We start from the raw sequence: 21,603 nt of genomic DNA on the forward strand, positions 1-21,603 counted from the left end.
TAGTTTCCATCTGAGTGAACTTTAAGTACTTAACTTCCTGGTGATGCTTCCCTCATCTTCCAGGTGGAAGTAATAATACCAGTTACTCAGTGGGACTGTTTTGACAGTCAAATGAGATAATGTTTGGAAAGGAATTTAGTTAACAGTAAAATTATTTATTTATGCCATGACTTTCTTTTTACCTTGAGGATTTGAGGTGCTTTCCAAGAAATTAATGAAATATAAATAAAAGATATATATATATATATATATATATATAAAATATATATAGGCCATATATACTGGTCAACACAGTTGAAGTGATTGAAGTTATAATATGGATTTGAATTTCTTGGTAATTTAGGTGAAAGGAAAACGAAGTCCTATTCTTAGGAGAAACCCTGTAAGTCCTATTCTTAGGAGAAAACATATCACTTCCTCCAAAGAAACCAAATATTTTATCCTCCTAATAAAAAATTCATTGAGAAATTTTTCATGTAAAACCTGAAATAGAGGCATTGAGATAAAATGGACTATTTTATGAGTACGACTGACTACCTAATATAAAAACTGAAGGGCAAAACAGTACTTTTGCTTGGAGGTAGTTATTATTGCTGTAAAAACTGTATTATTCCTAGAAACAAACCTGAAGCTTGAATCAGGAAACCTTAAATACAAAACCAATAACTCCCAATTAGCAAATCATCCAGCTCTCCTCCCTTTCTGTGCCTCTCTAACAAAGACACAAGCAGCTTCCTTACTAAGTCATTTTCTCAACAGTAAGGAGGAGTTTCTGAAGGAAATTGTTGATTGCCGGTGGCTCCAGGCCAGTTGCTGCTCATTAATGAGTAAGGGCAGAACTGCAAAAATGAAGTGTGGACCCAGATGTGAGACAAAACGGACAGCTGCACAGCCCATTTCGTGGGGCTGTGCCACAGGGAAAGGAAGAGAAAGAGAAAAGGCACAACCTAGTGATTATATCAGTGAAACAAATCACAGCATGAGGCCTCTTCCTTGAAATCCACATCTTTTTCTTGACTTCCCTGAAACCTCAATTCCCATCTCAAGAAACTCCCCTGAATTTTCTTCTTCTGGCTTCTCTTCTGCCTTCCCTTAAACGTGGGCCTTCCACAAGGTTCTCCACTTGGCAGCAATTTTATTCATATCTAGAGCTTAAATTATATCTTTTTGGATGCTTCATCCCCATCCTCTCCTGAATTTGCCTTTTTCCCCTGTTCCTTAAAATCAGTGGCACTGCCACTCTCCCTGGTTCAACACTTGGCATCATCTTCATTCTCTTACTCCCCACAACACACATAACCAATGATTAGATTATGGCCACCTTGCATACAAAAAGCCCTATTTCCCATTGACATATCCAAGGTCACTGTCATAGTTCAGAAACTCACCCACCATCCTCCATCTCCCATGTAGGCAATGACCTCTCATCTAATGTGTTCCTGCTTCCAATCTCCCATCATTTCCCAGGTTTCCGGGTGCTTCTAGTCTTTTTCTTAAACCTCATGCTTCTCCCCTTGCTTGAAAACTTCTAACAGCTCTTCAACAGACCTCAACAGGATAAACTTTTCAAGTACGCTTTCCAAGATCTGAGATCAATATGTTTTACCACTTTCCACATAACCTTTGCAGACATTCTAAACCATCTCCCCTCACTATCAAATGCTCTCCACCCCCTAACCCCTGACAAAAGTTGTTTCCTGCCTCTGAGACCTTGGTTAGTAGCTGTCTGCTGTCTGAAATACTCAACTTTTTTTTTTTTTTTTTTTTTTTTTTTTTTTTAAGACCGAGTCTCGCTCTGTCCCCCAGGATGGAGTGCACTGGCGCGATCTCAGCTCACTGCAAGCTGTGCCTCCTGGGTACGCCATTCTCCTGCCTCAGCCTCCCGGGTAGCTGGGACTACAGGCGCCCACCACCACGCCCGGCTAATTTTTTTTTGTATTCTTATTAGAGACGGGATTTCACTGTGTTAGCCAGGATGGTCTCGACCTCCTGACCTCGTGATCTGCCCGCCTCGGCCTCCCAAAGTGCTGGGATTGCAGGCGTGAGCCATCACGCCCGGCCTGAAATACTCAACTTTTAACACACAGTTATATTTATTTATTTCAAAGAACTAAGATTTTATTTTTTAAAAAATATAATTTCTACTTTTATTTTATATTCAAGGGATACATGTGCAGGTTTGTTACATAGATATAATGTGTGATGCTGAGGTTTGGGGTACAAATTTTCCTGTTACCCAGGTAGTGAGCATAGTACCCAACTGGTAGTTGTTCAGCCCTTGCCCCTCCCTCCCTATCTAGTAGTCCCCAGTGTCTGTTGTTCCATTCTTTATGTCCATGTGTACCCAACATTTAGCTCCCACTCATAAGTGAGAATATACAGTATTTGGTTTACCAGTTCTGTGATAATTCCCTTAGGATGATGGCCTCCAGCTGCATTCACATTGTCGCAAGGGACATGATTTTGTTACTTTTATGGCTACAAAGTATTCCATGGTGTATGTACACCACATTTTCTTTATTCAATCCACCACTGATGGGCACCTAGGTTGATTCCATGTCTTTGCTATTGTGAATAGTGATGTGAAGAACACATGAATTAATAGCAAGTTTAAATGCCACCTCCTTCAGGGGTCTTCCTGAATCCTTGGTTAAGAATTCATTGTATCCTCCTCTTCTACAAACCAAGGATCCTTAATTGTACCCTTCCTATGAAAGTCGCATTTATAGTACTCTGGCTTTATTCTAGATAGCTATACACCCAGCAGTGCCTTTGCTATCAGGAAGTTTACAGTCTAGCTAGGGAAACCTTGCTTTATTCACATTTCTAACTTCCATGGGATAATATTCAATGCTCTAAAAATTATAGGAGATTAAAGGATTTTTTTCAGTCAAATATCACTGTGAAAGGCTCTGAACACTGGGTTAAGGACACCATTTTAGAAAATATTTTTTAATAATAAGTGACAACAGCAAGACTGTCTGATTTGAAAGACAAAAAGAATGAAAAGAGCAAATGAGAGAGAAAAAAAGTAGAAGTTGATGTGTTATTTTTCTTTCTTAAAACACAAATTTGACTGTTTTATAAAAATCAAGTAAGTATTTAAATCTGAGGGAAAATGTTGCACTTGTTTTAAGACATCAGATTACAAAATGCATTTGAGATTATCACATGAATTTATTTCATTGCATAAGTATATTTTATGGTAGATTTTCCATGAGGGACGGAAAATGTCTTCCTGGTGCCTGTCCTAGTCCTAATGCCTAGTACATATAAGATACGTTGATACTTGTTGAATGAATAAATGTTTACTCAGCCTTATCTCTCTCCAGTTGCCCGCTAATCTCTCACTTCCTCTTCATAGGCAAACTACTGCAAATAATCATAGACACTCATCTTTCTTCTCTTACCACCCAGTGACAGCTCACAGCAGTTCAGTCTAACCTCTGCCTTAGCACCTTGTTTCCTGTGCTGAGACAGTGACGTCCACTTTGCCCCTACTCTGGGTAGGTTTCCAACTTTGGTGCTGAAGCAGAAGCAGGAAGGAAAACTGAGGCTGTAGCTCAGGGAAGTCCCCAGACATGTGCTCTGTGATGTCCTAGGCTCCCTCCACCCCTGCTCTCTCCCCACACAGCAATGCAAGCAGGTGGGAGAGGCAAGCCAGCACTGCTTCGTGACATTTATTTACCCTGGCTGTAGGAGCACCACTGATGGGAGAAACAGGTGGGGCTGTGCTCATACAATACTCTTGGTATGCAGGTTCAATCTTTTCTCTCCAATTCAGACCTCAGAACCTCAGAATGTCCTTTTTTTTTTTTTTTTTTTTTTGAGATGGAGTCTCGTTCTGTCGCCTAGGCTGGAGTGCAGTGGCGCGATCTCGGCTCACTGCAAGCTCCGCCTCCTGAGTTCATGCCATTCTCCTGCCTCAGCCTCCCGAGTAGCTGGGACTACAGGCGCCCGCCACCACGCCTGGATAATTTTTTGTATTTTTTAGTAGAGTCGGGGTTTCACCATGTTAGCCAGGATGGTCTCGATCTCCTGACCTCGTGATCTGCCCGCCTCGGCCTCCCAAAGTGCTGGGATTACAGGCGTCAGCCACCGTGCCCGGCCAACCTCAGACTGTTCTATGCCCAAACTCCATCCTAGTTTCTCTCTCTTTCTAGTGGACACCAATAGGCCAATGATTTTTCTCTCTATCTTGTCTACTCCCCAAGAATCTTTTTGAGACAGATGCAAGACATGAACACGTAAAATACTCTCAAACAGGCAGGACGACAGACAGAACCAGTTACAACTGTATTTCCTGTACATATCACTTAGCAATTTCTCTTTATTTTAATTCAAAAATAATTCTCTCCTGACCAGTATTCTCCATCCGTGCTCAATAAAACACACATTTCTCAGTCTTCTTTCAACTCAGCTGACCACTGCTACTTTCCTAGAACCCTTGCTCCTCTGCCCCCCATGACCCAGGAATCCCTGCATTTCCTTCTGTTTCTTTTGCTATTCTTCCATCCTCTGTGGGCTCATCTTTCACTACTGGGCCATTATGGGTTTGATTTCCTCCAGGCATTTTGGCCTCAGTGTTTTCTTCTATAACTTGCTTCATTATCTTTCTCTAAGCAATCTTATCTGCCTCCAGACCTATGAATGTCACAATGAGTCAGAAGTTTATATCTCTGACAAGCCCCACACCCATAATCCAATGTCTGTCTGCTGTCTCCCGTGATGTCTCAAGACATCTCAAACTCAACACATCCAACACTGAACTTAGCATCTGTTTTCACACACATGTTCCTCCACCATTGTTCCCTGACACTTCCTCATGGGGTGCACATAGATATCACAGAAGGTGGCCTGTCAATTTTACCTCCTACATATCTCTTGAATCCATTCACCTTTTGGAAGTCACTGACACCTCATCCTTCTCCTTTAGGCCAGGGTATCACTATCTCTCTACTGAAATATTTCACTGATATGCATACTCTTCCCCCTTGCCAACCCATATTCCACACGGTAGCCAGAAATATATTTTCAAAATGTAAAATTGATGATGTAACTAACTACAGCACTCCCCACACCCCCACCAAAAAAACGATAAACAACAAAAATCCTCAATCTTCTCACTGGTCCTAGGATAAAGGCATATTTCTTGATATGGCTAAAAAGGCTCCCTTGGTGATGGACCTGATGACATCCCCAGACTTAAGCAGTTCACTCCTCTTCTGCACTCCAGACAGTGTGGCCTTCCCTCAGTACTTTTTTTTTTTTTTTTTGAGACAGAATCTTGCTCTGTCACGCAGGCTGGAGTGCAGTGGTGCAATCCTGGCTCACTGCAACCTCTGCCTCCTGGGTTCAAGCAATTCTCCTGCCTCAGCCTCCTGAGCAGCTGGGATTACAAGCGCATGCCACCATGCCCGGCTAATTTTTGTATTTTTTTAGTAGAGACGGGGTTTCACCATGTTGGCCAGGCTGGTCTCAAACTCCTGACCTTGTGATCCACCCGCCTCAGCCTCCCAAAGTGCTGGGATTACAGACATGAGCCACCGCACCCGACCTTCCCTCAGTCTTTCATGCTGCCTGTTCTGTCTCCTTCTAGAGGACTTCCCCATGTAGCATGCCTTCTGTGTGTATGCCCGGTCTAGTTGATGCCTGTGCATCATTTGGATCTCATTTTACAGAACCTTCTAACTCTCTTTTGTAGCACTTAGAAGAGTTTCGGTTCCATATTCATGTGTGTCATTCTTTTATTGTCTGTCTTCCCCTTCTAGTCCATAGGCTAAATGGAGGCAGAGAGTATCTGATGCAATTCGGTGTCTAACACATAGTAGATTATCAATAAAGACAACTTTTTTGAAAGTGTGAGTGTGTGAAATCAGTATGAAAAGACATAAATTCAGTGAGAAACATGTACCCCTAGGCTGGCATTTAAAAATCCAACTCAGGATTTTTAAATCCTGGGGTACATTTTGCACAGAACTGGGGTCAGTCACAAGAGCATTGAAAGCCTTGAATGGATATAAGAAACGAAAGTAGGAAGATTTACCTTCTCATTCACGCTTAGTAGTGGGTGAATGGGAATAATAGGGGTTTTTGAATGAAACATTTCACCTGAGCAGATGTAACTGGTTTTATGATATAAGATGTGTGCTAAGATATGAAGGTAGTATTTTCCAATCCTATTATCTTCATTTTCGCTACTGTATATATTGAATAAGAGTCATTACAAGGGGAGGAATGAAGGACAAAGTCCACAGACATGCTGGAGGGGACACAAAGGAGAGAAGATATTTCAAAAATGCCTAAGTCTCTGGATTGTAGATATTCTGCTGGATATGCCTTTTTATATCTTAGCTTCTAAAATTTATGTCATCAAATGCAATATAATTGTCTCTGCTTCCATATGGTGACAGAATTCTAGCAACTGTATCAGGATCTCAATAAATAGGCGAAACTCAAATGTTGCATAAGATGTTTTCCCTCAGTCACATTTTTCTCATGCCCCCAAATCATGAAACACAAATTTTGTAAATTAGAATAGTATCAGTTATGAATGCACTTCTGCAATTATGAGAGTAAAAACATTCCACATTGAAATAAGAAATGCCATCTGATTTTGATCTAACACAAAGGGGAAAAAAACACATTCCATTTAAGAATGACAAATAAAGCTGTCAATGTGATCCATTTATAGCCCCACAGAGAATGCCACAAATCCACATAATGTTCTAAAGAAGCCAGTTATTGTATTTGCTCTCTCAAAGAAAGAAATCGTAGAAGTCCCAGATAGACTCCTATCCAAGGAAACTAAGGTTAGCAGGAATAACTTGCTTTAGTCAATGTCTTAGGTGCATGCCTCTTTAAGAAGAGAACGAGGGCTTCGGGCATTTTATTAAATAGTGTGTAACAATGGAAATGGTGGAATGATGGAGGGGACGTGTCTCTCTGCTTGGTTAGGTAAAAAGAGGAGCTGTAAGAAAATGGAGAAAACCCATTGTCTTCATTGCACCAGCTCCATCTCTTCTTACTGGTGTAATGAGGCCTCTTTCCAAAGGTCTACTGCTGACAAAAATTACAATAAGCCATAAAACCTTAATTATAAACGTTCAAAGTGCTAGTCATTTTAAAGCATTTTTTAATGGGTTATTTCAGGCTCAGCTACAAGGGCACATGCCAAAAACAAAACACCAGAAATATATCTCTTTATTCCTTATTACAATACTCAAGCTTTCTTCTTTTAAGAGGTAGTTTCTATTATATACATATGCATATATTCATGTGTAAGTATATATAAAATATGACCCTCTGCAAGGCATAACTGATTTTTTTCTCCTTTGCATTGCCTGCTCAAAAACTGAGAACAAAATTTGTTACTATCTTCTAGCAAGAGTGTTGAATTTCATGGCATAAATTTTCAGTATGAATCTCTCTCATGGCCCTATCTTATGTTCTTAGCCTTATTTTTTTCCTTTGACTCATTTTTTCTTACCTATTTGAAATACATTTTATATTGCTCTACGGTGTATATTTTATTAGCCTTTTTCTGTAGGCCCTAAATCCTTTCCAGCATATAAATAAAATATATAACATTTATAGGTAGTCTTTTTTTTTTCCTCTGGAGGGTTGCAAAATTCTCCAAAGGCAACATGTAATTGATTACTGTAAAAATATGAGCATTAAAATTTATAATTCTTTTGTAGTAATTAATTTTTTGGTGACATTTAGCTCAATAGTGCAATTAGATTTTCTTAATATTTGTATATACACTTTTAGAGCTGAGGTTCTTAGCCTGAGATCCATGAACTTAAATTATATGCAAAAAATTGTGTATGTAAATTTTCACTGGGGAGGAGTTTCAAAATTTTAATCCAATTCTGAAAGGTAAATGTGACTCAAAATATTAGAAATTATTGCTATGTGTTAGGATAACACTAAAAAACCATATCCTGATCTTTATTAATTCAACGAATTGACAAAATATTTGTTGAGTATCTGTGAAATGCCTGGCACTATAATAGATCCTGGGAAGACAACAGTAAACATGCAGGCTTGACCTCTGACCTCAGGGTACTTCTAGTCCAGTAAGGATGAGGATAAGCAATTAAAAAATGAAATAATCAAATGGTAGTATACTACAATAAATAAAACAAAGTGATGTAATAGAAAGTGAGTGAGATTAGGTGGTCAGGGAGGACTTCTCTGAGGAGGTGACATCTTATCTGGGCCAAGCACCATCTGAGGGAAGAATATTCCAGAGAAACGTAACAGCTAATAATGCAAAGACCCTATGGGAGAAACAGGCTTGTGAAAATGATAGCACTTCCAGAAAATACAAATGGTAGATCTCCAAGTTCACATTTTCCATAATACTTCAGTCTTGAAATATCTGCATGATGTTTCCCTTCTCTTTTTTTAAAAAGTTAGATTTTCTAATGTGAGGGAAAGATATCCTCAGGAAAAAAAATGCAATGCATTTTATTATACATTAAATTCATTCAATAAATATTTGAGTCTACTATCTTTAAGGCACTGTGGGAGATGCTCTCCAGGTGCTTAGCATAAACTAAATAAAAAATAACTGTCATACATGCAACTATGATGTACCTTAAACCAATCTTGTATTGTTCCATCTCATAAGTTTATGAGCCAAGTAAATTCTAGGGCCCAGACACTTTAATGCACAAGAAACCCAAAGCTCTTTAGAAAGGCACCAATCACCCTGTCACAGTTGAAGATAGATAAGTAAAAAAACAAAACAAAACAAAACAAAAAACAGAGCACATAATGAAAGATGCGGCTAAAAATTCTTTCAAATTTTCCAAGCCATGGAGTAACATTGTACTCCATGGCTTGGAAAATGGTTTAAACAACCCTGGCTGCGTACATCAATACATTAAGGTGTGACTAAAGATCATAAATAGCTCCCACATTATTAGATGCTTTCTTGAACTAAATTATTTATGAGTATATCAAAGAAAATAATATACCAGTAAGAGGACTATATTGCTTTGGTCACAAAATTCCATGCTGGGAAATTCTTACATGCTGGCAAATGCTTACTGTGTACCAGGCACCTTACTGAGGACTCAGTGCACATACCTTTGAGGAAGGGATGTTACTACTTTTATTTTACCTATAGGAAGAAACTAAGGTGTAGAGAAGCAAAATGACTGGCCTGGGGGAGGAACCATCAGAGATTGGAACCTAAGCAGTCTGGCTCCAGAGCACCCAAGATATCATTTCCAAAATTAGTGGTCAGCCTTATTACCTACTCAAGGGAAACCTGGCTGCTTTGCAAATTATCTCTGATAACCTCATTTTATCTTACTGTTTAAAAGGCTTTGGGGAACAACATTCACACGCTGATTAATTTAAATATTGGCCAAAAAAGATGGCAAACCTGCTATTAAGAGTAACACATACAATTTGAAAATGTTTATTTGGATCAGAGTAAATTATCTGAATTATCCATAATATTTCCTCTTAGGAGAAATAATAAAGGGTTGAATGTACTTATTTAAAAAATCTCAGAAGTACACACAGCATTTTGCTCACTTGTTTCTGCCCTTATTGTTTTTTGTTAATGCAATTTCAACTTGGAAAAGGGAGATTTTAAAGCTATATTCAAATCCAGAAATCAATCATTTTCCTCTTTTTTTCACTTCCCCCAAGATAAAAAAAAAAATCAGGTTCAAGCAGGTTGCTGAGACTTGCCTTTCTTGAACAATATTAGGGGCAGCAGGAGCATATCATAGTATTTATGCACCATTAATTGAATATTTATGCAGTATCACACACTGTGCTAAGCACCAAACAACTTCATTTTATTCTCACAACAACCCCATTAGTAGCTTCTATTATTATTCCCAATTCACAACTCAGGAGATGGGGACTCACAGAAGTTGCTCACAAGTCAAAGAACTCATAGCTCGTAAATGGAGGAGCTCTTACCAGGCTGATTGACTCTGGAGCTTGGGCTTCCTATGATTTTTCTTATTCTTTCCTTTAGTTTGATCATGTTCTCCCCACTTACATATCAATGAAGACTCTTTATTTTCCAACATGGGCAGTCTAAACCCTTCAGAACTTAAGACTGTCCACAATCCAGTTCTTTTTTTTACCTGCCCAAGCTGATTTATCAGTATTCTGAACTAAATACCCTCAAGGCCTGAGGGAATCTGCCTCCTTTCAAAGCTTCAGATGTCTTCCCACCCACAATCCAGCTAAATTCTACTGCTCTTTAAGGCCTAGTTCAACTATACTTTTCACAGTCACCTTCCAGACCTTTCCAGCCCAGAGAAAATAGCCTGAGGAATTTGCCTCGCTGTCCACCATTGTAGATGACCTGATGTCCCCCACTGTAGATGACCTGATGTCCCCGAGAGCTTCGGCAGCCTGGAACCCAAGGGATGGTTATGCGAGGGCTGTTGGAATGTGCCATGGGGGCATTTTTCTCAGGAGGACGTCCAGAGCTTTTATCAATTTCATTAAGCTTAACAACCACCACTCAGCACCCTTACTTCTAGAAACTAATGACACTGAACACTAATGTTCTCTGATCAGGAATGCCAGATTTAGCAAATAAAAATATTATACGGGAGACACAATTTTACTAAAACATGATTTGTTGTGTATTTGAAATCCAGATTTAACTAGGCATCCTGTATTTGATTTGCAAACTTATCCTGAATGTTTTGTGGATATTAATCTTATCTCTCAGCTGTACAGAATGTAACCATCTGGAGAACAAGGGACTTCACTATTTCCTCATGAAACTTAACACTCAACTCTTATTACTACTTATCAATTTATTTTTGTGGTCCAATAGAAACATTTTTGAACATGCTTGATTTGAGCCAATATCAAGTCTAGTAGCCACAGCATGGTTATGTACACACACACACACACACACACACACACACACACACACACAGCTTTTGCTACAATGAAACAAATGTCATCATACCTAGCAAACAATTTTAATCATCTCTGCTATTAGCTGGATTCAAACACACTGAGTTCCTCCCGAAATATCTTTTTTAAAAATATCCTCTTAGGAAGAATCTGGGGAAATTAAAAAGATATCAAAATTGTGATTGGATCTCAAAATGAGATCTTCGGACCATTTGATTGAGAAATCACCAAAGATATTTGTCAAAATGCAGTTGTGTGGGTGCAATCTCAAACCTATTAATTCAGAACTGTGCATAATGGCTCCAAGCAATCTGTGATTTTAAAAAGCCTTCCAGATGATTTTTATGCCCTCTAAACTTTAAGAACTGTTTGTTTATAAAATGTAATACTTTAGCAAGGATTGCTGTCTATGTTAGAGAAGAAAAGTTAACATTTTGGTGCTTAAAGATAAGCCATCAATATTTTGAGGTTCAAACTAGCAATCATCTTTTAAATGTATCTTTAATCTATCACACCAGTGTTAAATGCTCAGCCCTGTAAATTTTCTATTTGGACTGTCCAAGCATTTAAATAGAATTGGTAAACTAATGATAAGTATTAAAAGGCTGCTTGATGGATTATTAAAATAGTAAATGTGTCACCGAAGTTTATAGAGACCAGAAGAAATTTAAAAATAGGTTATACATACTAAGATGTTCTAATGCTGCTACTCAGGATTGGTCTGGGCAACCTAAGGCTCTTTTGAATTTCTGAAAGAAAGCATCATTGTCCAAAGCTCCTTACTGCTGTTGACTGGGTGGTCCTCACTATTTTTGATCTGAGTGAAAAGAATGCTGTTTATAAGTCAGAAGGCTTAGGTTCTATAGCTTATGGTCTGTTTTGGGGGGCTTCAGTTTGCTCATCAATAAAACAATGGCTGAGACTATTAGCTGATCTCTAAGGTATTGTCTAGACCTAAATTTCTATTATCATTCTGAGCTTCAGTTTCCTCTGCCGTAAAATATGGGGTTGTACTAGGTGCAGTGTGTCCATTTGTCCTGTGTGTCTGAGGGCGGCCCTGTCGTCTCCATTATGGTACTCAGATCTCCATTCATAATTCAGGCTCACCCTCTCTAACACTATAAGATCAATGATGCTTCATTTAGGCTTTCCCAAGGAAGGGACAATATATTAGCCATTCACACGTGTCTTTTATAAGAGATAATTACTTATTCAAACATACTTACAGACCAACAACTATGTGCTATTCATCACTGTGCTAGGCCCTGGGAATACAGTAATGAAAAAAGTCAGAAAACAGAGTTCTGGCCTATGCAGCCTACATTCTGATGGGGAAGTAAGGAGTGATGGGGAAGAAGACAAAAACAACAGTCATATTAAACAAATATAAATAAGAGACTTCGGTTTGTAATCGGCTCCGTGAGGGATAACTGAGGGCTGAGATAGAGAAGAACAGAAAGGTGTTCAGAAGAAGACTCCTAGAGGAAGTGCAATTTACTTAGACCTAAAGGAAGAAAAGAAGAAAAACGGGAAGGAAGGGGGTGGAAAAAGGGGAAGGGAGAGCATATGCTGGGATCCTGTGGGAGAAATAGCTTATGTGCTTGGCATCCAAAATCCTGGAACTGTCTCTTCTATCTCTGAGAGATAATTTAATCCAAAGCTAGTGAAAGGAAACCAGAGGCCCAGAGGGTTTAAAGGACTTCTCTGAGGTCAAATGGCTAATTAATAGAAGAACTCTTCCACACTTCAGTGCAGAATGTGAACTCTTCTTAGAGACTGCAACGCAGCAGGAAGTACCAGACTGTAGTGGTTCAAATCCTGGCTTTTCTATTCATAAACTGCTCATCCTTGGGCATGAAAGCTTCTTTGAGCCTCAGTTTTCTTTTCTGTGAAACACAGACAACGCCTGCCTCACCAGATTATTACAAGAATTTAATGAGATATTGTGGCACAGTGCCTAGTATATCACAGCTGCTCCGGAAATGCAAGCTCTTTTATTTTTCACCTAGTGCACTTTCACCTGTACCAACTTGTTGTCAAATCAAGACAAAGTAGAGCAGAGGTTAAGTTACTTGGATAAAGGAGGAGTGGCGGCAGAGGGAAGGTTGTAGAATACTGGAATGGAGCCTATTTAGCAACTGCGCATCCAAATTTTAGTGAAGGAAATGAAAAGAAAAGTCCACTAAAATGGACAAGTGTCAAAAAAAAGACATCCCCAACTTCATTAAGGTCACAGCTTAACCTGCTAGTGGTAAATCTAGAGTTGTCTACCTAAAACAACAACAAAAAAGATCCCTTGTATCAGTATTTATACTTAAAAGTAGCGTATAAGAAACGGGTTTTACTCTAGGATGTCGGTAAACAGAAGAACGACACACTTTGTTATTCAAACCATGCTAAGAGAAAAATGTTAATATGCCACTAAATCAACTGGGAACAAACCAATTATCTGCAGGATATTAAAATGATAGCTGGTGTTAAGGATGCTTCAAAACCAAGCCCATGATATTGGAGGAATCAATAATTAATCCAAGTAGGTATACAGATTTTCTTCATTGTCTGTGAACAAAACCACAGGTTGAATTCAACCTTAAAATGCCAAGAGGCATATTTCATGGATTAGACTGGAAAGCTATGAGGCTATTCCACAAAAACCTGCATGCCCTCCCTGTTAGGGAATGTTTATGGTTCAGACACACATGAACCAGGGCTGACTATTTCTTAGTTTCAGAAGTTCACTGGGTCCCTCTTCACCCAACCGTAAGGTAAATGCCATTTCATATACAGCTTTTTGAAATGCAGCTTATTTTACGATTCTCTGCTGTTGCTTTATGGGAGAAATTTTATTTCAAAGTTTCATAGGATGTGAACTGAACTCGTTATTTTGCTCCAAACTCATTGTTTAATTGACAGGAAACATGCATCTAAATCATCTTACATGCATGGCATAAGCAGCTACATAAATTTAACAATGGGTGGATTATTACTATTTAGCATATTTATAGAATTTTAGACTCAGGAAGCATTTTACAAATCTTTTATTAGTTAATCCTTACGCTTCCGAGTGCATCTGACAGGTGGTAAACAATGCTTTGGGGTTTAAATTGCCAATACATGAAAACTTTAATGGGGAAAAAGAAATCTACAGCCTTCCTCCTTGCTCCCAAATGTGTCTAGGGCACATTTTTGATACCTACTTCTTCTCACCAGAGACTAAGGCTAGCGGCCCAAGAAGCAGAGTTGCACACACTGAAACACTAGTAATAAAAAATATATATTTTGGGTTTTTTCCCAGATCTGGTGGCCAACACCAGGGGAGACCTTCTCACCAAGAGCAAGATGATGCGACAGGATTCTCAGCACACACACCTCTCAGTAATACAGCGCATAAAAAGGCACATAAAGAAGCAGTCAATTTCTCTAAAACTATACGGTAAACTTAGTTTCGAATTCAAATTCTAACAATGCCACACCTGCTGGACTCATTATTTGAGTGACATCACCAGTGATTACTTCTCTTAAAATACATGCATGTGTATTGAAAAATAAAACTCAATTTAAACTAAGAGAATGTATATCTTCATTTTTTTTTAATTCCCAAGTGTTAAAAATCAAGTGAGTATTCAAGCTCACTTGAATACCAGTTCAAACTTTGTATGAGTGCTCCAAAATACCCCATCTCCAGACACCACAAGGTGTGGCATAGCAGGGCAAAGCAAGCCTCAATAAATCAAAGTCTAGTTCTTGACCCAAACCTTTTTACAGCCCGGGGCTTTCACGGCTAACAAACCAAGAAAAATCAATCCCGCATCACCTTAGGGCCGGGCATGAGGAGCTGCAGATGCTGCGCCTACTTTCAGAAGACCCCAGTGTGGCACGTCCAGCCCAGATTCTTATCTTTTCTGACTGACAGTGACTTTATCTCTCTAATCCCTCTGGCCACCCCCGCCTCCGCCAGTGTGTGTGTGTGTGTGAGTGCGCGCGCGCGCACGCGTGTGTGTGTGTGTGTGTGCTGGGGGACGCTTAGGTAGGAGGCTGCTCAAGACACCCAAAGTATTCTGGAAGCAAGCACCCTCTGGGGCCCTGTGCTTTGTCAGAGCAGCTGGGCTAGCTGTGAGGAGGTCAGCGAAAGGTAACCAGGTCACCCTCCTTTCAAGGGTGCAAAGGGATGCTCCAAGCTCTCGCGTCCCCATGAGCCTGCGGATGTGGGGACTGCGGGTGGGCAGAGAGACCCCCCATAATCCCGCCCACCCTGGCGCGGCTCCTCCCGGGCGCGCTCCCGCCCCGCCACGCCCCGCGACGCCCGCGCTACCTGGGGACGCTGGAAGCTCCCGCGGCGGCTCTGGGTCCCGCCGGGCGGCCGAGGCTGGCGCGGGCTTTGTAAAGCCGCCGGGACAGCGCCGACCCCGCCCCGCCCCGCCGACCCCGCCCTCTCCCACCTCGGCCGCCTCCCCCGCCTGCATCCCGGGCCACAGTCCCCGTTCCGCCACCTCGCTCCCGGCCCGGCAGCCGCCGCCCTGCGGGGCGGGGACCACGGGTCCCTCCACATCCTCGCGGCCTGCCGGACAGTCCTGCGGGCGGGGCCCCAACGCCTAGGCGGTCCCGGGAGCCCTGGGCCGCCTCCCCCCGCCCCCCAGGGCTGTCACCCGCTGGCGCGTGGGGCTCCTACTGGGACCCCGGTCTTTGGACCTGGCCCCTGTGGCCCCAGTGCCTGCGGCCTCGCCATTCTCCGCTCAGGGCCCGAGGGGCCGCCCTTCCTGGAGGCCTCCCCAGGACCCACCCACCTCTGGGACTTGCGGGGGCATCTCCTGCAAATGGACGCCAAGTCTGGGGAAAGTTTCTGGCGATGTCAAGGGTCAGCCTTTTCTTATAGGGACGTTCTCTAGCCAACTGATGGAAACTCAAGGATTCCATCAGGGGGTTCTGCTGACATCACAAATCACACATGGCTTAGTCGTTTACTAATGGTCCTGTCGTTACTTAGTCGTTACACATGGTCCTGTCGTGTCGTTTACATAGAGACTCTCCATCCTTACTGCAACCTTCTGCACGTTCGCCTTTGGAGGCCCCAAGCTAGTGACATGTCAGCGACAGGGTGTAAGGAACTTAATTTTTAAATAAACAATTAATATTAGAAACCCGCACATTTATACGTTTGCTGTGCACCAAGCTCTAAGTGTGGCCACCTTTGAATAGTTCAGACCTTCCAGTGGTCAAGATGATCTAGGCCAATCACTATCCTGCACTTCCTCATCTACAGAACTTTTGGTCTTTTTACTCTTCTTTTTCATTTTCCCTTTGATATTAAGGAGAGGTAAAAATAAGATGCAACAAAATCAGTTTGAAGAGCTTTTAACAGCTGGTGTAAAACTTTATGGGAGAGGCAGTCTGCAATCATTGGAAATAAGATTAGAAAATTATCTGTACACCTAACTGCAGTTTTACCATTTTTTTGCATGAGCTTGCGTAATGAAGGGCTAGAGATAGCTATTATTTTTAGCAGAAATAATGCTTTTCTAAGAATTAAGTAGATTAAAAGTATGATATAGCTGGGATGTCAGATCAGGGTAAAACTCTATTGACAGAAGAACGAACGAAACGAGCTGATAGTATAGGAGATCCAACAACTCTTTGAAGTAGTAAAATTGGTTTTGTCTTGGAGTTTATGCAAATGGTTATGCTAGAAAACAGAACCTTTATAGTCCTAGTTGCCTTTTAATGAATTCTTTCCTTTTCAATATCTCTATTTCCTTCAACTGTTTCTCTTTCTAATAAGATATAATTTAAAGATTGCTCAAAGCTTTGGACATCCATTCATTCTTCATTTCTTTTCTTCTTCTTCTTCTTATTATTATTATAATACTTTAAATTCTAGGGTACATGTGCACAACCTGCTGGTTTGTTACATAGGTATACATGTGCCATGTTGGGTTGCTGCACCCATCAACTCATCACTTACATTAGGTATTTCTCCAAAAGCTATCCCTCCCGCAGCCCACCACCACCCAACAGGCCTTGGTGTGTGATGTTCCCCTCCCTGTGTCCCTGTGTTCTCATTGTTCAACTTCCACTTATGAGTGAGAACATGCGGTGTTTGGTTCTCTGTTCCTGTGTTAGTTTGCTGAGAATGATGGTTTCCAGCTTCATCCATGTCCCTGCAAAGGACATGAACTCATCCTTTTTTATGGCTGTATAGTATTCCATGGTGTATATGTGCCACATTTTCTTTATCCAGTCTATTATTGATGGACATTTGGGTTGGTTGCTATTGTGAATAGTGCCGCAATAAACATACATGTGCATGTGTCTTTATAGTAGCATGATTTATAATCCTTTGGGTATATACCCAGTTATGGGATTACAGGGTCAAATGGTCTTTCTAGTTCTAGATCCTTGAGGAATCACCACACTGTTTTCCACAATGGTTGAACTAATTTACACTCCCACCAACAGTGTAAAAGCGTTCCTATTTCTCCACATCCTCTCCAGCATCTGTGGTTTCCTGACTTTTTAATGATCGCCATTCTAACTGGTGTGAGATGGTATCTCATTATGGTTTTGATTTGCATTTCTCTGATGGCCAGTGATGATGAGCATTTTTTCATGTCTATTGGCAGCATAAATGTCTTCTTTTGAGAAGTGTCTGTTCATATCCTTTGCCCACTTTTTGATGGGGTTGTTTGTTTTTTTCTTGTAAATTTGTTTAAGTTATTTGTAGATTCTGATATTAGTGCTTTGTCAGATGGATAGATTGCAAAATTTTTCTCCAATTTTGTAGGTTGCCTGGTCACTCTGATGATATTTTCTTTTGCTGTGCAGAAGCTTTTTAGTTTAATTAGACCCCATTTGTCTATTTGACTTTTGTTGCCATTGCTTTTGGTGTTTTAGTCATGAAGTCTTTGCCCATGCCTATGTCCTGAATGGTATTGCCTAGGTTTTCTTCTAGGGATTTTATGGCTTTAGGTCTTACATTTAAGTTTTTAATCCATCTCGAGTTAATTTTTGTGTAAGGTATAAGGAAGGGATCCAGTTTCAGCTTTCTACATATGGCTAGCCAGTTTTCCCAGCACCGTTTATTAAATAGTGTTTTTGTCAGGTTTGTCAAAGATCAGATGGTTGTAGATGTGTGGTGTTATTTCTGATGCCTTTGTTCTGTTTCATTGGTCTATATCTCTGTTTTGGTACCAGTACAATGCTGTTTTAGTTACTGTAGCCTTGTAGTATAGTTTGGAGTCAGGTAGTGTGATGCCTCCAGCTTTTTCTTTTTGCTTAGGATTGTCTTGGCAATGTGGGCTCTTTTTCAGTTCCATATGAACTTTAAAGTAGTTTTTTCCAATTCCGTGAAGAAAGTCACTGGTAGCTTGATGGGGATAGTATTGAATCTATAAATTACCTTGGGAAGTATGGTCATTTTCACTTCCTATCCATGAGCATGGGATGTTCTTCCATTTGTTTGTGTCGTCTTTTATTTTGTTGAGCAGTTGTTTGTAGTTCTCCTTGAAGAAGTCCTTCACATCCCTTGTAAGTTGGATTCCTAGGTATTTTATTCTCTTTGTAGTAATTGTGAATGGGAGTTAACTCATGATTTGGCTCTCTGTTTGTCTGTTCTTGGTATATAGGAATGCTTGTGATTTTTGCACATTGATTTTGTATCCTGAGACTTTGCTGAAGTTGCTTATCAGCTTAAGGAGATTTTGGGCTGAGACGATGAGGTTTTCTAAATATACAATCATGTCATCTGCAAACAGGGACAATTTGACTTCCTCTTTTCCAATTGAATACTTTTTATCTCTTTATCTTGCATGATTGCCCTGGCCAGAACTTCCAATACTATGTTGAATAGGAGTGGTGAGAGAGGGCATCCTTGTCTTGTGCTGGTTTTCAAAGGGAATGCTTCCAGTTTTTGCCCATTCAGTATGATATTGGCTGTGGGTTTGTCATAAATAGCTCTTATTATTTTGAGATACATTCCTTCAATACCTAATTTATTGAGAGTTTTTAGCATGGAAGGCTGTTGAATTTTGTTGAAGGCCTTTTCTGCATCTATTGAGATAATCATCTGGTTTTTGTCATTGGTTCTGTTTATGTGATGGACGATGTTTATTGATTTGTGTATGTTTAACCAGCCTGCATCCCAGGGATGAAGCTGACTTGATCATGATGGATAAGCTTTTTGATGTGGTGCTAAATTCGGTTTGCCAGTATTTTATTGAGGATTTCCGCATCGATGTTCATCAGGGATATTGGCCTAAAATTCTCTTTTTTTGTTGTGTCTCTGCCAAGCTTTAGTATCAGGATGTTGCTGGCCTCATAAAATGAGTTAGAGAGGATTCTCTCTTTTTCTATTGATTGGAATAGTTTCAGAAGGAATGGTACCAGCTATTCTTTGTACCTCTGGTAGAATTCGGCTATGAATCCGTCTGGTCCTGGACTGTTTTGTTGGAACCTGTTATTGGTCTATTCAGAGATTCAACTTCTTCCTGGTTTAGTCTTGGGAGGGTGTATGTGTCCAGGAATTTATCTGTTTCTTCTAGATTTTCTAGTTTATTTGCATAGAGGTGTTTACAGTATTCTCTGATGGTAGTTTGTATTTCTGTGGGATTGGTGATGATATCCCCTTTATCAGTTTTTATTGCATCTATTTGATTCTTCCCTCTTTTCTTCTTTATTAGTTTTACTAGCAGTCTATCTATCCTGTTGATCTTTTCAAAAAACCAGCTCCTAGATTCATTGATTTTTTTGAAGGGTTTTTTTTGTATGTTTGTGTGTCTCTGGCTCCCTCAGTTCTGCTTTGATCTTAGCTATTTCTTATGTTCTGCTAGCTTTGGAATTTGTCTGCTCTTGCCTCTCTAGTTCTTTTAACTGTGATGCCAGGGTGTTGATTTTAGATCTTTCCTGCTTTCTCATGTGGGCATTTAGTGCTACAAATTTCCCTCTACACACTGCTTTAAATGCGTCCCAGAGATTCTGGTGCATTGTGTCTTTGTTCTCATTGATCTCAAAGAACATCTTTATTTCTGCCTTCATTTCATTATTTACCCAATAGTCACTCAGGAGCAGGTTGTTCAGTTTCCATGTAGTTGTTCAGTTTTGAGTGAGTTTCTCAACCCTGTGTTCCAATTTGATTGCACTGTGGTCTGAGAGACAGTTTGTCGTAATTTCTATTCTTTTACATATGCTGAGGAGTTTTCTACCTCCAACCATTTGATCAATTTTAGAATAAGTGTGATGTGGTGCTCATAAGAATGTATATTCTGTTGATTTGGGGTGGAGAGTTCTGTAGATGTCTATCAGGTCTGCCTGGTCCAGAGCTGAGTACAAGTCCCAGACATCCCTGCCAATTCTCCGTCTCATTGATCTGTCCAATATTGACAGTGGGGTGCCAAAGTCTCCCATTATTATTGTGTGGGAGTCTAAGTCTCTTTGTAGGTCTCTAAGAACTTGCTTCATGACCCTACCTGGGTGCTCCTGTATCGGATGCATACATACTTAGAATATGTAGCTCTTCTTGTTGAGTTGATCCCTTTATCATTATGTAATGGCCTTCCCTGTCTCTTTTGATCTTTGTTGGTTCAAAGTCTATTCTATCAGAGAGCAGGATTGCAACCCCTGCTTTCCTCTGCCTTCCACTTGCTCGGCAGATCTTCCCCCATCCTTTCATCTTGAGCCTATGTGTGTCTTTGCATGTGAGATGGGTCTCCTGAATACAGCACACCGATGGGTCTTGCCTCTCCAACAAACTTGCCAGTCTGTGTCTTTTAATTGGGGCATTTAGCCCACTCACATTTAAGGTTAATATTGTTATGTGTGAATTTGATCCCGCCATCACGATGCCAGCTGGTTACGTCACCCATTAATTGATACAGTTTCTTTATAGCATCGATGGTCTTTACAATTTGGCATGTTTTTGCAGTGCCTGGTACTGGTTGTTCCCTTCCATGTTTAGTGCTTCCTTCAGGAGCTCCTATAAGGCAGGCCGGGTGGTGACAAAAATCTCTCAGCATTTGCTTGTCTGTATAGGATTTTATTTCTCCTTCACTTATGAAGCTTAGTTTGGCTGGATATGAAATTCTGGGTTGAAAATTCTTTTCTTTAAGAATGTTGAATATTGGCCCCCACCCTTTTCTGGCTTGTAGGGTTTCTGCCGAGAGGTCCACTGTTAGTCTGATAGGCTTCCCTTTGTGGGTAACCTGACCTTTCTCTCTGGCTTCCCTCAACATTCCTTTCTTCATTTCAATCTTGGTGAATCTGACAATTAGGTGTCTTGAGGTTGCTCTTCTCAAGGAGTATCTTTGTGGTGTTCTCTGTGTTTTCTGAATTTGAATGTTGGCCTGCCTTGCTAGGTTGGGGAAGTTCTCCTGGATAATATCCTGAAGAGTGTTTTCTAACTTGGTTCCATTCTCCCCATCACTTTCAGGTACACCAATCAAACGTAGATTTGGTCTTTTCACATAGTCCCATATTTCTTGGAGGCTTTGTTCGTTTCTTTTCACTCTTTTATTTTTAATCTTGTCTTCTCTCTTTATTTCATTAATTTGATCCTCAATCACTGATACCCTTTCTTCTGGTTGATCAAATTGGCTATTGAAGCTTGTGTATGCTTCACGCAGTTCTTGTACTGTGGTTTTCAGCTCCATCAGGTCATTTAAGCTCTTCTCTTCACTGGTTATTCTAGTTAGCCATTCGTCT

At 40.4% G+C, this 21,603-nt stretch overlaps 1 protein-coding gene across 20 annotated transcripts in view, besides 1 other annotated feature; it reads right to left on the bottom strand.

Moving 5' to 3' along the window:
• RHOBTB1 (Rho related BTB domain containing 1) overlaps positions 1 to 15,795 on the bottom strand; it is a 141,108-nt gene extending 125,313 nt beyond the window's left edge. For 11 of the 20 annotated variants that reach the window (XM_047426099.1, XM_047426092.1, XM_024448271.2 and 8 more), the window contains exon 1: positions 15,227 to 15,268. The gene's annotated coding sequence lies outside the window, so the exon portion shown is untranslated. Of the gene's footprint in view, positions 1 to 14,728; positions 14,826 to 15,226; positions 15,269 to 15,698 lie in introns of those variants that run through there. The other 9 variants (XM_006718085.2, NM_001350908.2, NM_001350903.2 and 6 more) reach the window with 2 other exon arrangements.
• Positions 3,454 to 3,713: an enhancer, noted in NCBI's record as "active region_3395". NCBI's record gives its function as "activates an Ori minimal core promoter by ATAC-STARR-seq in GM12878 lymphoblastoid cells {active_cell/tissue: GM12878}" and the evidence as "EXISTENCE:reporter gene assay evidence [ECO:0000049][PMID:35858748]".
• Positions 15,796 to 21,603: the final 5,808 nt, after the last annotated feature.

The sequence above is a fragment of the Homo sapiens genome, chromosome 10 (assembly GCF_000001405.40).
Source record: "Homo sapiens chromosome 10, GRCh38.p14 Primary Assembly".
NCBI classification, from domain to species: domain Eukaryota; kingdom Metazoa; phylum Chordata; class Mammalia; order Primates; family Hominidae; genus Homo; species Homo sapiens.